The 16527-nt window shown below is 39.7% G+C and overlaps 1 long non-coding RNA gene across 1 annotated transcript in view; it reads left to right on the plus strand.

Moving 5' to 3' along the window:
* Nucleotides 1-1001: 1001 nt before the first annotated feature.
* LINC02734 (long intergenic non-protein coding RNA 2734) overlaps nucleotides 1002-16527 on the plus strand; it is a 36240-nt gene continuing 20714 nt past the window's right edge. Inside the window, exons 1-2 of the long non-coding RNA NR_183631.1 lie at nucleotides 1002-1095; nucleotides 11089-11195. This is a non-coding gene — a long non-coding RNA (long intergenic non-protein coding RNA 2734). The remainder of the gene's footprint in view (nucleotides 1096-11088; nucleotides 11196-16527) is intronic.

Here is a 16527-nt window from a genome sequence, read left to right on the forward strand (position 1 = left end):
AGTCCCCACTCTGACCGGTGTTCCATAATGGCATTCTTGTTCCTCATGGGGAAACATAGACTGATGGTTGCAAATCCCATGTCTGCCAGGGCCAACACATTAGCCATCACCATCATAGATGATTGGCCTCCACCTTCCAAGTCTTAAGTAAATGCATCTTATTGTCAGAACTTAAATCATACCTAGAACCCTATGGCAAGAAAGTTCAGTAAATGTATATTTTCTAGCCTCTGTAGTACAGGGAGTGAAGATGGTGCCTTGTACTCAGTTGGGAAAGACTGGAGTAAGAATGAACTTGAGGAAAATGTTCTCTTTTGGCCATGTTAATTTTAAATTTTAATTAAATTTTAAATTTAAATTTAAATTTTAAAATACCGAATTTAAGGATGATGTGTTGCACAACTCTAGGGGATTCAATGGAGTGCCATCTACATTTATATATATATTTATATATATATATATAGACATATATAGATATATCTTATATATATCTATATATATAGACTTATATATAGATACATAAATATATATATTTAAATTTTTGTACAGACAGAGTCTCACTATGTTGCCTAGGCTGGTCTTGAACTCCTGGCCTCAAGTAATCCTCCTGCTTTGGCCTCCCTAAGTTATATATATTTTTTCATGTTGAGATGTATATTGATTCTGAGACATATATATGTATATATGTGTGTAAGTATATGTGTGTGTGTGTGCACCTAAAACTATATGTGATGGACCTGCCTCTTAGAATCAAAGTGAAGATTGTTGGGTTCATGAGTTTAGAGCTCAGAGAAGAGGTCAGGGCCAGAGATAAAACCCAGGACATCAATATGTAAAAGTTATGTAAAGAAAGCCGTGATACTAAATGAGATCATATAGGGAAGGAAGAGTCTAATAGCACCTCAACATTTAGAATTCAGAATGAAGAGAAAGAGCCAGCAAAAGAAGCTGGTCATGAGTAGCCAATGAGGTAGGAGAAAATGAGAAGAATGTAGTGTCATGGAGACAAAACTGTTGCATTCTGTTGAGAGATCAAGAAAGATGCTGGCTGAGATCAACCATTCGGTTTTTGACACAGGACGGCAATTGTTACTGGTAAACAAGAGTGGTTTCATTATGATCGTGAAGAATTAGGATAGGCTAGAAGATGAGAAAGTGGAGTGGGTATAGCCAACACTTTCAGGAAATTTTACAGTAAAGAGGAGAGAAGAAATGATAGAGTAATTGTTGACTGGTGGCTAAAGATAGGTAGAATCTGTCACATTCAAAACGTAACCTTTCATTGATAAAACAAAGACACTTAAACAGGAATAGATATTGAATTTTATTAATAACGATTTTTAATAGACTTTATTTTTTAGAGTTGTTTTAGGCTTACAGAAAAATTGTACGGAAACTGAGATTTCCCATGAAAACCCTCCCCATGCACACATGGTTTCTCTTATGATTAATATCTTGCATTTGTGCTATTTGTTACAACTGATAAGCCAATATTGATTCATTATTATTAACTAAGGTTTATAGTTTACCATAGGGTTCATTTTTTGGGTTGTACAGTTTTATTAATTTTGACAAATGCTTAATGCCATGTATCCACTCTTCCAGTGTCACACAAAATAGTTTCACTGACCTAAAAATGCCCTGTGTTACAATTATTTGTCCCTTTTCTCCAAACCTCTACCAACTGAGGCAGAGAATAGGGTCTGGAGGCAGGGAACCTAAGGCCGATTCATGCTGACTGGACATCAGAGGCTACTTCCTTTTCAACCCCTCCTTTTTCTGGGTGGCAGATGAAAAATGACAATATCTCTAAATGGTCCCTTCCCATAACCAATCAGACTGGTCATGGGCCTACTCTTCACTCTGATTGGTCCCCTCCTACAACCAATCAGACTGGTGATGGGCCACTACTGCGTTTGCATAGAGTGAACCAATGGGAAACCTCTAGATGGTATTTAAATCCCAGAAAAATCTGTAACCGACACTCTTGAGCCACTTGCTTGAGCCCACTGCCACCCTGAGGAGTGTACTTTCTTTTAGAATAAATCTCTGCTTTTGCTGCCTTGCTTTGTTTGCGCATTTTGTCCAATTCTTTGTTCAAAATGCCAAGAACCTGAACAACTACCTTCAACCGGTAACACAACCATTGATCCTTTTACTGTCTCTATAATTTTGTCTTTGCCAGAATGTCAAATAGTTGGAATCATATAGTAAGTAGGTTTTCAGATTGGTTTCTTTCACTTAGCAATATACATATAAGTTTCCTCCATGTCTTTTTACAGTTTTATAGTTCATTTCTTTTATCACTGAATAATATTCCATTGTACACAGTATGTTTTTCCATTCACCCATTGAAGGATATCTTAGTTGCTTCCAATTTTTGACAATCAAGAATAAAACTGCTATAAGCATTCATGTGCAAATTTCTGTGTGGATAAATTTTCAACTCATCTGGGCAAATACCAAGAAGTGAAATTGCTGAATCATATGGTAAGCCTATGTTTAACTTTGTTAGAAACTGATAGACTATCTTCCAAAATAGCTCTACTATTTTGCATTTCCACCAGCAATGAATGAGGATTCCTGTTGTTACATATTTTCACCACTTTGTGTTGTCAGTGTTTTGGATTTTAGCCATTCTAATAGGTGTGTATTGGTGTCTTAATTTGCAATTACGTAATAACATATGATGTTGGGCATTTGTTCATATGCTTATTTGCAAACTGTATATTCTCTTTGGAGGTGCTTCAGTTCAGATCTTTTGCTCACTTTGTAATTGGGTTGTTTTAACACAATTGGGTTGGTTGTTTATTGTTAAGTTTTAAGGGTGTTTTGTATATTTTGGGTGTAAGTCCTTTATCAGATATGTGTTCTGCAAATATCTTCTCCCAGTCTGTGGCTTTTCTTTAAATTTTCTTAATATTATCTTCCACAGAGAAGTCTTTAATTTTAATGAAGTCTAAATTATCAACTTTTTCTTTCATGGATCATACTTTTGGTACTATATCTAAAAAGTCATCGTCAAACCCAAGGTCACCTAGATTTTCTCCCATGTTGTCTTCTGGAAGTTGTGTAGTTTTTTGTGTCATGTTTAGGTCTATGATTCATTTTGAGTTCATTTTGTGAAAGGTGTAAAATCTGTGTCTAAGTTTTGTTTTGTTTATTTTGGTTTTTGGCATGGTGATGTCCAGTTGTTCCAGCACTATTTATTGAAAAGCCTTTTCTCCATTGAATTGCCTTTGCTCCTTTGTCAAAGTCCTGTTGAACTATATTTGCATGGGTCTATTTCTGCGCTCTCCATTATGTTCCACTGATCTATTTGTCTATTACTTTGTCAATGTTTTCATCACTATGGCTCAATAGTAAGTCTTGAAGCCATAGAGTGCCAATCCTCTGACTTTATTTTTTTTTTCCATATTGTGTTGGATATTCTGGTTCTTTTTCCTTTCTATATAAACTTCAGAATCTGTTTACCAATATCCATGAAATAAATTACTGTGATTTTGATTGGGATTATGTTAAATCTATATGGGAAGAACTGACATTTTAATAACATTTTCTTGCTGTCCGTGAACATGGAATATCTTTTCATTTTTGTTTTCTTTGATTTTTTAACAGTTGTATAGTTTTCCTCATATAAGTATTATACATATTTTGTTAAGTTTATAACTATGTCATTTTTAGTGATAATATAAAAGAAGTCGTGTTTTTAATTTAAAATGTTAATTGTTCATTGCCATTAGATAGAAAAGCAATTGAGTTTTTTATATTAATCTTTTTTCCTACAAACTCACTATAATCACGTAGTGGTTCCAGGATTTTTTGTTGGTTCTTTAGAATTTTCCAAATAGATAATTATATCATCCACAAGCATAGTTATACTTATTCCTTTTCAATCCATATCCCTTTTAAATCCTTTTCTTATTTTATTGCATTAGCTAGGACTTCCAATGTGAAGTTGAATAGGAATGGTGAGGGAGACATCCTTATTTTGTTCTCAGACTTGAAGTTTCTGTCTATTCCTAGTTTTCTGAGAATGTATATAATGAATGGGTGTTGGATTTTGTCAAATGCTTTCTCTACATTTGAAAAATTCTATAATTTTTCTTCTCTAGTCTGTTGATGTGAAAAATTACATTAATTGATTTTTAAAATGTTGAATCAGTTTTGAATACCTGGAATAAATTCCAGTTAACCATGGTATATAATTCATTTCAAATTACTTTTTAACTTTTATCAAGATGATTTATATGTGATGATTTTATTATTATATTTACTAATATTGGATTTTCCTAGTATTTCTGCAATTGAACTACATGTTTTACGATGTATTCGCTTTTTAATATGTTCATAAATTAAACCTGTATTATTTCATTGAGGATGTTTCTACCTAGTGGTGGTAGTGTGGAAGCATTAGATGCTTCATACTGGAAAAGAGCAATGGCTTTCAAATCACATTATCCTGGATCTGAATCCTAACTCCACAACTTAGTGATGGTCTGTGCTTGGACTAGTTATTTAATTTCCCTAGGACCTTAATACTGTCCACATAAGACTGTAGGATTAAATAAATTAGTACAACCTCTATGGAAAACAATATGGAGATTTCTAAAAGAACTAAACATAGAACTACCATTTGATCTGGCAATACTACTACTGGGTATTTACCCAAGGGAAAATAAATCATTATATTAAAAAGATGCCTGCATAGGTATGTTTATCTCAGCACTATTCACAATTGCAAAGATATGGAATCAACCCAAGTATCCATCAGTGGATGATTGGATTTTTAAAATGTGGTGTATATATATATGTGCAATGGAATACTACTCAAGCATAAGAAGAACAAAATCATGTCTTTTGCAGCAACATGGATGGAACTGGAAGCAATTAAGTGAACTCAGAAACAGAAAATGAAACACTGCATGTTCTTAGTTATAAGTGGGAGTGAAATAATTCATATACGTGGGCATAGACACTGGAGTTATAAGCAGGAGTGAAATAATTCATACACATGGAATAATGGACACTGGAGACTGAGAAGAGTGGGAGGGGGGTGAGGGATGAGAAATTACTTGAGGAGTACAGTGTGCACTATTCAGGTAATGGCTATACTAAGAGCCCAGATTTCACCACTATGCAATATATCCATGTAACAAAACTGCACTTGTATCCCCAAAATCTATATACGTTTTAAAAAAAAATTATGTCTCATGGCATATGTAAGCACTCAATTAATTCGAGTTATTAATGTTAATATTTTAGGTGAGATTATATAAATACTTTTTTTGCACTCCTTTGCCACATTTTATCAGTTTTTAGCAGATAAGAATCTCAATGTATAAACAACAACAGAGAAAACAACATTCACATTTTAAAATTTATTTTTAATCATTTTCACTTCAACACTAAGATTCCCATCCAGCTCTATAGACAGGAAGTTATACCTCAACCATTCTTGGGATTACCCCTTCCCCAGGTGTTACAAGGTTCTGGGGTCTTACATGGCATCAAGACTTTGAGATATGCTCAGTCATAGGTCATTCTTGCTGATACGCAGTCTTGCATAATCTGCAGGCCAGTTCTGGCCCAGAAGTACAGAATTACAGAAAAATATGGTTAGAAAAATAGGCTCAGGGACCAAATCCAAATCCCCCAGGTTTAAATTCTGTCTCTGCCTAGCTGAACCTCAGTTTTCTAATCTATAAAATGGGGAGAATGATAATACTTAACCCATAGAGTTTATGTGAGAAATAAATGAATTAGAGCAGGTGTAAATGTTAGCTACTTTTTAAAATTAATTATAGCATGGGAACCTTGGACAGGGTTAGAGATTCCACTAAAGTTCTGCATCTTCTGGGTGGTACCGCTAAAGAGCAGAGAAAGAGTCATCATTCAAGGGACTCACAAATCTTTATCCCCTACCCAGTCTCTTGCTTGATGCTTCTCAAAGGGCGCTATCCCTCACTTCTACCCCTCAGGACATCCAGCAAGATTTCTTCAGCAGGCTTGGATTTTTGGTGGAGAAAAGTCAGGAAAGGAAGATGTGGGTAGCCCCTACTCTCTATCTTACCACAAATCCTCGGGCAAAGAAGCATAAAGACTAGCTACCTGCTCAAAGCAGGGAAGGAAATGGGGAAAATGTAGAGGAAAAAAACATAAAATAACATCTCGAATATCTATCCTGGCCTAAAAAATAAACGTAGCTTCATAAATAACTCAGAAAACTTTTTTTTCTTCCTTCTCTTAGCACCGGAAAAGTAATCATAAAAAAAATAAAGCCTCTCTTTTCCCCTCCTCCTCTACCCTCTCCACACTCCTCTCATACTCCTTTCAAAAAAAAATTGCCCATAAAATTTTCTGGATGAGAGAATTTTCTGGATGGGAGCACTTTCTGGAGGCAAATTTCTTACATTTAATAGACAAAAAACAAGCTAACATCTGCCTTTTGATCTACATCAAAAACAAACTACCCCATGTCATGGATTTCACATGTGCTGGAAGCAGTTAGTGTAAAATCCATTGATCCAGGAAGTCTGGTGCCTGAATGATACCATCTCTTCATTAATTATTAAGAAATATGAGAGAAGGAAGATTACAAAGAAACAAGAAGCAAAAATAGGCCAGGCACAGTGGCTCACACGTGTAATCCCAGCACTTTGGGAGGCCGAGGCAGGCAGATCATGAGGTCAGGAGTTCGAGGCCAGCCTGGCCAACATGGTGAAACCCCATCTCTACTAAAAATACAAAAACTTAGCCGGGTGTGGTGGTGGGCACCTGTAATTCCAGCTACTTGGGAGGCTGAGGCAGGAGAATTGTTTGAACCCAGGAGGCGAAGTTTGCAGTGAGCTGAGATCTCGCCACTGCACTCCAGCCTGGGTGACAGATCAAGACACCGTCTCAAAAAAAAAAAAAAGAAGTAAAAATAAATCCAACGAGCACTTAATACATGCCTCTTGCCTTGTTAGGCCTTTTATATATCATTTGCATGCTCGTATATGAGAAGGAAAATAGCAAGGTAAGTCTGTCGTTCCCATTTTATGGATGAGAAAACAGGGTTATTGAGGTCATACCACCAGTAGATGGTGGAGCAAATATTTAAATCTAGTTGATTGATGCCTAAACCTATCCTTTCTACTGCATCTCCACTGCTTTATAGCGAATTAATAACAAATATGAGAATCTTCCTCCCAAACTTCATTGTTGCAAAGTAAGATTTCTAATGGGTCTAGTTCTTTGATAAGCTGTAAGCTGAGAGAAGACCTGTAAAAACTAATATATATTTATTAACATCAGAGTAAATTTCACTGCAGAATACAGGCCTCCTAAACATTTCTCTTGAAAAACCTGCATCCCAGATGAAGATCTTCTACCTTATGAGGGAACCTTTTTTAAAGCCATTTTGGCAAGGGGATGGTTGGGCTGAACATTTGGGTCTTTAAGGCCTTTTTAAAAAAAGGCTCACTTATATGTAGATTTGGGATTTTTTTCCAAATCCCCTATATGTGGATAGCCCCCCAAGTAAGAGACTGAGCCTTATTAATGGGAAAGGAATATCACCCGCTTCTATTTTCATGCAAATTGTCCCAGCAGAATAAAAAGGGGGACAGTGAAAGTGATGACACTGATCTAATTATCTGCAGGCCAATATCACTAACTTCCTGAAAGGAGCCCACAGAATGGCCTGACACAGACACACAAAACACAGCCAGGAAACAATCGGGACCTTAGCAACAAGGCAAAAACTGGCTCCTCTCTGCATAAAGAGCTGTTTTATGAGCATTTCTTGTTACTTTCAATTAAGCCCCACCACCCCCCACCTTAAGAAGGTCCATTTTTAATCGATGCCCCTGTTGCCCTACAATCACTGACGTGTACCATTCCACCAGCTCTGCCTTCAAAACCAGCATCCACTCACATAGTTTCAAGCCCTGGTTCTGTGAGAGACATAGAACATAAGAATACGACTTCAGTGGTTATAAAGCCTCAGCATCCTGACAGTGTGCTACTTCACAAACTCTCTCATATGATCCTCAGAACCACAGAGTGAAGCAAGTGTCAAAATCCTCACACTTAAGATGGGGAAAATGAAATCCAGGGAGATTAAGTCACCTGAAGAAACCTTCAGAGCCAGCAACTATGGGTAAAGGTGACTGAAGTCCAAAACTCTTCATACCGCACCACACGGCAGCTATGTTGTTAATACATCGGCAAAAGGATTAAAATGAGAGCTGTCCCCTTAAAAGCAACTTTTAATTTAGTTCAGCAATGTCCTGGTTTACTTTAGTTCTTTGAACCCAGCCTGCTTGATCTGGGTCCTAAGGCCCTCCCATCTTTGCTGAGGAGTCTCTGCCCCATCCCAATTCTCTCACCACCACCTCCCAACCTGATGCTAGCTCTAATCCTACTTCAAATCCTGTCCCTGCCTTACCCCCATTCCCTATTGTCTAAGTATCATCACTGCCAAGAACCCTTGCTGGTGTATCATGAGTGGTTCTGGTTCCCAGGTAAAAATTCTGGCCACCTGATACCAGTCTGGATTAAATCAAATTCTTGGCTATCCCCCTCAGAGGTCAGAGGTCAGGTCTCCCCTACAGAGAGCTTCATTCCTCCAACCTGAGCCCTCCCTGAGTCCAGCTCCAGTCACTTCTCCAGGGCCTGACTTTAAAGTTTCATACCCCGTGGCAGAGGTAGAGTAGAGTAGGGAATGATCCTGCCTGACTCCAAGGGAATGACTTGGAGTCGGGCAGAGACTTCGGTTTGCATCCCATTATATGAGCTGGGTAAGTTATGTCAGCTGTGTAAACTTTTTCAGTCTGCATTAGAAATAGAATACTATTCCCCTTATGAGAAACCTGGCACACTATCATTCTGCAATAAAGGGTAGGTGTTTTCATTACTTGTCAGCTATTCCCTAAGGTTTGTCCATGGCCATTACTTTTTTACTTGTATTTAATCAAAATTCCCCCTATTATTATTTGAATATAACTTTATATTCAAATTAAATGATAATAAGTTGCTTACTACCTATGAATAGCTAATACTATTTAAGGAGTGAATAAATGACTAAATAAATCAATGAATAATCACAGCAATGAGTCAAACCATTTGATATACCTGGAGTAAATGAATCAATTCCATTTAACAAATACATATAAATAGCTATTACATCCCAGGCACCCTGCGATGTCCTAGGTAAATAGTAGTGAATAAGACAGACAGGATGTTTACCTTCATGAAGCTTACCGTTCAGCAATTACTCTCTCCTTCCTATGGATTTTGATATGCGATCTATTACAACACTGAGCAAACTGTATTGGAACTATTTGCTTTGGAAGTTGCCTTCTCTTCCATGAAGAGCACCTGGCCTGTGAGCACCATGAAGGCAAAGACTGGGTCTTGATCACCTCTGGGCTCCAGCACTTGGCCCAGTGCCTGCTAATAATTCTATGTATAGCCCAATCTCTCAATCCTAATAGAGATTTTACTATTTTCTCTGGGCTTTCCTTAAGTGTTCACATTCCTGTTTATCTCCTCCTAACAAGAATTCAGGCAGGAAACTTCCTAGAATTTGCCCATCAAGATCTAGCAAGGGGCCAGGCATGGTGGCTCATGCCTATAATACCACCATTTTGTGGGGCAGAGGCAAAAGGATCACTTGAGACCGGGAGTTCAAGACCAGCCTGGGCAACATCGCTAGACTCTGTGTCTGCAAATAATAAAATGCTAGCCAGGTGTAGTGGTGCAAGCCTGTAGTCCCATCTACTCAGGAGGCTGAGGCAAGAGGACATGAGACACTAGGCTGATCAAGAAAAGGCAGCTAGTTACGTTTCAGACACTGGAACACACAGGATGTGCCAGGGCTTCCTCACCTTCCTTCTTGTGTCACAGTTGGAGGGAAAAACATATGGTAAGCACCAACAATTATTTGTGCCTACTTATACAGTAAGTGGAGAGCAGGAAGCCTGAATCCACCCACCTCACTCTCTTCCCCAACCCTTTCTGTTGTAGCTAAAGATGGTGAACATCTGACAGCAGGCAGTTTTCACCTTGCCACAGAGGAAACCTTAGGAGTAAATGGTGCCCAGTAGGTCATTTCATAAAGCAGATGAGAGCAGAGCTCTTCTGATGGAAGTGAAGGTGTGAGGTCCAGAATGCCACCTGCTCAGCCCCCTCCTTGTCCCTTGCACTTGGTAGGCGTGGGGTTGCAAGCAGATGGGGAGAACTGGGAAAAGGATGAGGAGGTTATGGTTCATAAAGAGAAGCCACGATGCTGCAGAGCACTGGGGATTTTATATTCTTTAGGGTTTTATTATGCCAAAACAATGGCGGGAGAACACAGTTAGGAATGAATGATAACTGGCTTCCAGGATCCTCACTAACCATGGTGATTATCTCTCAGCCAAAGTCTACAGGCAGCAGACTGATAAGAGACACATCAGTTCTTCTGTTTACAATTCATTTAGAGCTTTTTGTTTTTTCATTTATGTGGAAGCCAGTTTATTCAGGCCTCCAAGATAGGTCTCTAGTCACCAGGGAAACATTTGTCCTTTATCCCTTAACTACCTCTTGACTCCTCAAAACCAGAGAGGAAAATATACCTAACCAGATGGTAAGACAGGTCTGAGTTCACGCAAGACCTTCTTTCAAAGGCTGTGGAGGCAGGAGCCTGTGTAACCGCATCAGCCTGTAGCCAGGCATCCTCCGGAGGCCCCTCTCCCACCACACCCCAGCTCTGGGCAGCTGCTTCCCAGCTGCAGTGCTTGCCAACCCTCAGACTGGAGGGAGGGAAATGAAACCATAGCCATTTATCACCTGTCAAAAATTCAGACTCCACTTGTCCTGAACATCACAGCCAGACACACTAAGATAAGCACCAGTCAGAGGACAAGAAGGGGAATGTGAGGGAGAGCCAAGGGGCCTGTAGCCCACTTGCAGAGAAGAAGATAGTAACATAACAGAACATTTTGCCAGTATCTTCCTGTCCTTGACCTAAATAGGGCAGCAGAGTCTGTGGATGTGCGTTTCTCTAGGAGTAAAATGATCTGGCTGAGGGTTTCTGTTCCACTCCTTCACTGTGCCTTTCAGAAACTTACCTGGGCCTCCTAAGACCTGGCTGCTTCTTCTGTGGAGAGAGAATAATAGGAACATCTGCTTCAAGATTTTCATAAAGGTCAACTAAGAAATGTGACAAGGTTTGTGAACTATAAAGCACTAAACATAAGTGAGTATTAAGAGCATCTAAAGGCTCTCTAGAGTCTGGTTTTGAGTGTATTCATCAAATTATCATCTGCCTGTTTTCTGTTTTGTCCTATGTATGACCTAGGACAAAGCAAAGGAATCAGTGACTGCCAATTGTCATGTTGCCTGGGACAATAGCCTAATTAGATCACCGAAGAAGACTGCAAGGTGGAGAGGAAATCACATAGGCCTGAAGGCAGATAAGCAATTACCAGCTACAGGGCCTTGGGCACATTACCTTATGTTTTTGTTTGTGCACTCTTATCGGTGATATCAGGCCAACGGCACATACCTTCTGAGTTGGGGTGATTGGTAAGCTGTCTAAACTTCCCAGTTGGTAGGTGGAGATAAGCATGATTATGCTTGTCCAGGTCACTAAGACAAAATATCTTGAAATTAGTACTCCTGTAACGAGGGTGCAATTTAACAAACTACTATTTCATATTTTCTTTAATTGCTCCAATTATCCTCAAAACTTACAGGAGAGAGAAGACAAATTTTTCAATTCATGGTATCTCTTTCTCTTCATGTTTAACAGTCTCTTTTGTGTATGTTGGTGTCTTTGGGGTCAATGCTCTTTTGACTTTCTCTCCCTTCCTCTGATCCACCTAGAAATGGCATTTGGGTCAGTGAGGAGGAGCTTACCTGGACTTGCCGCAGTTGAAGAGCAGGGTCCTCACATTTCTCCAGAAAGTTCCTTATATTGTACTCTCATTTGGCCTCTAGACTGGGACACGATGAGGTGTTGCTGATTCCATCATATCTTTTACGGTTATCATACTGTATCTACTGCTTTTGAAATTCTTAGTACTAGTCATTTGGCTGGGTTGCAAAACTCCTATGTGATCTTTATTTCCTTCTTTTTTTTTTTTTTTTTTGAGACAGCATCTTGCTCTGTCTCCCAGACTGGAGTGCAGTGGCGCAGTCTCAGCTCACTGCAGCCTCTGCCTCCCGGGTTCAAGTGGTACTCCTGCCTCAGCCACCCGAGTAGCTGGGATTATAGGCATGTGCCACCATGCCTGGCTAATGTTTGTATTTTTAGTAGAGACAGGGTTTTGCCATGTTGGCCAGGCTAGTCTTGAACTCCTAGCCTCAAGTGATCCACTTGCCTCTGCCTCCCAAAGTGCTGGGGTTACAGGTGTGTGCCACTGCACCTGGCCTCTATGTGATCTTTTCTTTATCTCAAGCCCAGCTCGGCTAGTCCACTAATCTCCTTGGCACATCTGAGCCCCATCACCAAACCAAGCAGAAACTTTCGAATTCCCTGTGCGTCCTGCACAGACCAGGGCAATCAGCAGTACTATCTTACACTATCTATCTAGACCACTTGTCAGCCACTGCTGCACTGTACAGCTTCTGCCTCAGCTTAGGCTCAGTGCTAACCAGAATGCACAACTTCTTCTAGAGGCTTGCTGCGTCCCTAAGCCCTGGACCCAGGCCAGTATTTCTAATGCCTTCAGTTGTCTTATGCCTCTCTGAAGACTTCCATGGTGCACACACATAAACACACACACACACACATCCCTCACACAAACACATATACACACACACCTCAAAGTTATACCCTAAAAAGAGGGGAAAATGAGGACGCTGGTGTTCGTCTGTCTTACCCTACCATGCTCTCTCTCCTCCTTCTAAGATTAACAATGCCAGAAGAGGTGGGATTTCTCTAGTTATTTCTCATGAGTCAGAGCCTTTTCCTATGTACCCTGAGCATTCCTTGTATTATGGTTTATAGTAATTTTTAAAATTATACTTTACTAATGTGTCATAAAATCAATTTAGCAGGCCAAGACCAGATTTTTAGAAATAAAATCTAAAACACAATAAAAAGTGTCAATCAGAGGGCATCTGAAATTTTTATTACAATTTTACATGAATGTGTGTATGTGTGTGTGTGTGTGTGTGTGTGTGTGTGTGTGTGTGTGTGTGTTGAGTGATAACAAAAAATATATTTGTTACCATAGATTGTAATCAAAAAGTCCAGGCCAGTGCAGTGACTCATGCCTGTAATCCCACCACTTTGGGAAGCCAAGGCAGGAGGATTGCTTGAGCCCAGGAGTTCCAGACCAGCCAGGGCAACATAGTGAGACCCTGTCTCCACAAAAAATAAAAATTAGCTGTGCGTGGTAGCACATGCCTGTAGTCCCAACTACTCGGGAGGCTGAGATAGGAGGATCTCTTGAGCCCAGGAGGTCAAGCCTGCAGGGAGCTGTGATTGCATCACTGCACTCCAGCCTGGGTGACAGAGCTAGATCCTGTCTCAAAACAAAACAAAAAAAAACAAAACAAAACAAAACAGAACAAAACAAAAACTAAAAATCACTAGCTACATTTAAATGAGCTTGTTGAAAAATTCAAAAATAAATAAATAGAAATTCAAGCAATGCTTTTGGTATGTAAAGATAGCTTAAGACTTAAAAAATCAATCCTGGCCGGGCAAAATGGTGCATCCCTGTCGCTACTTGGTAGGCTGAGGCAGGAAGACTGCTTGAATATGGGACTTTGAGACCAGCATTGGCAACAGAGCAATAACACCATCTCAAAAAAAAAATAAAAAAGGAAAAAAATCAATCTTTTCTGTCAAAAATGTCTGATCTCAAAACCGTTGTTTTACTAGAAATTCATGGAAGAATTCAGGGGTGAAGCTGAATTCTGAGTAATGGACATTTTGCTATGGTGGTATCTACTCTTGCAGTGACAGATGATGACATTGAGTCATTGAGTGAAGAGCTACAAAGCAGCAAGATTTATAATATATTAAAAATAATCTGAATAGTCCAAAAAGTATGATGCCCAATACACTTTTAGAAAGGTGTATAGTATACACCACTAGCAGACCTGGCCCAAAGAGCACACTAGGATTCAATGAGCTCTTACTCCCAGCGCTTTGCCAGACATCCCAGAATCAAGGATATCCTGACTGACTTACATCCTGCCACGAATGATCTATTAGTAATCCTGTGATTATCTTCAACCAAACTGAGTTATTCACCATTTTAAAGGCCAAATTTAGGAGTGAGCCTGCCAGGCTACTTTCCAACATCCTGGTTCATAAGGGGAGCCAAAGCAGGTCTGGAATAAATGTCAACAGATGGTTTTAAACAACTAACTGCAGCCCAGTTTCACCAGAAACATCCACCAATCGAGTCAGGAGAAAGCCTCAGAGCACCTTGTGCCATATAAGTAAGAAGAGTGCCTCAGAGTTTGGGTTGATCCAGAAAAGACCACCCCTCTTTTGAGTTCTGTGCCCCTGACAGGACCCTCACTCTCTCTCCTCCCTGTCCCTCCAGCACTCACAGCCTACACCCCTCCTGCCTGGAGACCATCAGGGTTACCTCATATGCCGTTTACATCTACTTAAGTCAGACACCAAAAAGAGTGTGGAGCTTCCTTGTCCTCTGGGCTCTTATCCCCATTTGGCTTGCTATATTCACTTTTCTGATGCCATCTACCTGGGGAGATGTCTGAGGAAACGCTTCCGCTATATCCCCCTGGAAATCAGAGCCAGTCATCAGCAAATCCCATACATCTTCAATCTTGTACTCTCCCTTGGCCTTCTTGGTCTAACAGACATCTGACTCTCCCAGGAGGACATTGCTTCTCCAGAAACCCTCTCAAGTGGTTGCTGTTTTATCTCCAAACTCCTTGTACCACACAGATCCCTGGTGGGGGTAAAAGTTTTCCTTGCCCATCTTGATGCTTGTTGACCACTTCACCCCTCTGCCTTAACACTCTGCTTTTAATCACATCACCAGGCTATACAATCCCCTATTCCCACTTCATTGCTGTCATCTACTGACCTCTAAGTCATGCTCCCTCATTTCTTGAAGATTATATCTCACTTTTGCTCTCATTTAGTTTAAATCAATAATTTCACTGAGACATAATTTAAATAATCATGCAGCTCTTCCTCCCTGTATCCTGGCTCATGTATTCATTGACCTCATCTCCTCCATTGTCTCACACCCTCGTCTAGCCATCATTCCCATGGTCATGTACTGCACCTTATTATTCCCAATACTTGCAAATTTTACCTAATTTGAGTTTCAAGCAACCCACTCTCTGATCATCCCCCCTCTTATCTTTCCAGTTTGAGTGTCCCAATTCCAGCAAGTTTTTGACCCCACAGAGACCTCCAATCTACAGATACCACTCCTTTTCACCACCCCCTCGCCCCAACTATCAGTACCTGTGGAGGCTTCACTCCCCTCCCTTCCATATCTAGCTTAGAGCATATTCTCATCATCATAATTTCTCTCTTCAACTATATTTTCCCTTTCTTGCTTTATTATACTCTTCTTGAAAAGCTCCAACCTCAGTGAGATTCACCTCTTCACTCCCAGCCTACACCTGAGCAGCTGAACCTGGCTGAAGATCAACACACAACCATGCTGACCAGTCTGATTTTAAGTCCATTACTTTAAGCTCAAGCAGGCCCTTGTAACTGCTCAGGAATCATCTTCCAGATCCATTCACTCTTCCACTTTCTTCACTGAGGAAATAGCAACAGTCACATAGAACTTTCAGAAGTTGCATCACTACATTTGACCTAATGCATTTGTCTGTGCCCACATTCGCCTCCTTCCTTCTCGTTACTGTGAATGGATTGTCTTTACTCCTACTTCAGGCCAACCTGTCCACTTGTATATGAGATGCCGTCCCCACTCCCTTAGTTAAAAAGGCATCATTCCAGAAAATCTCTTCTCCTTTTCGGTAATTCCAAAGCAGTTGCACCATCTTATTAATATATTCTCACCAGTCATGTATGAAAGTTTTGATTTTCCCCCACCTTTGCTAGCATATGCTATTTTCCACTTTTTGTCATTTTGTTATCATAGCCATCTTATGTGTTTGAAGTAGTATCATATGATTTTGATTTGCATTTTCCTAATGGCTAATGATATTGAATATCTTTTCATGCATTTGTTAACCATTTGTGTATATAGGTTTTTTCTAGAAAAATCTATTTTAGTTTTTTGTCCATTTTTTTCTTTAAGGTTTTTATGCTTTGCAAATACTTTCTAGCACCAGACATGTAGAAGAAATTTACCCACAACCTTACTACCCCCAGTAATGTAGCAAGTGTTTTTTGTGTTTCCAAGTTTATCTACACACATAATTTTTTAATTCTTTTTTTAAATTGTGATAAACTATACATAACATAAAATTTGCCTAGTATACACAGTGGCTGCCAGGTAAATGTATATTTAATGAATGAATAAAGGCACAAGTAATGAAATAAAAGTCCCACACCTTAGGCTGACTAGTCCCAGATGCCACCCC

Source organism: Homo sapiens, chromosome 11 (assembly GCF_000001405.40).
Source record: "Homo sapiens chromosome 11, GRCh38.p14 Primary Assembly".
NCBI lineage: Eukaryota > Metazoa > Chordata > Mammalia > Primates > Hominidae > Homo > Homo sapiens.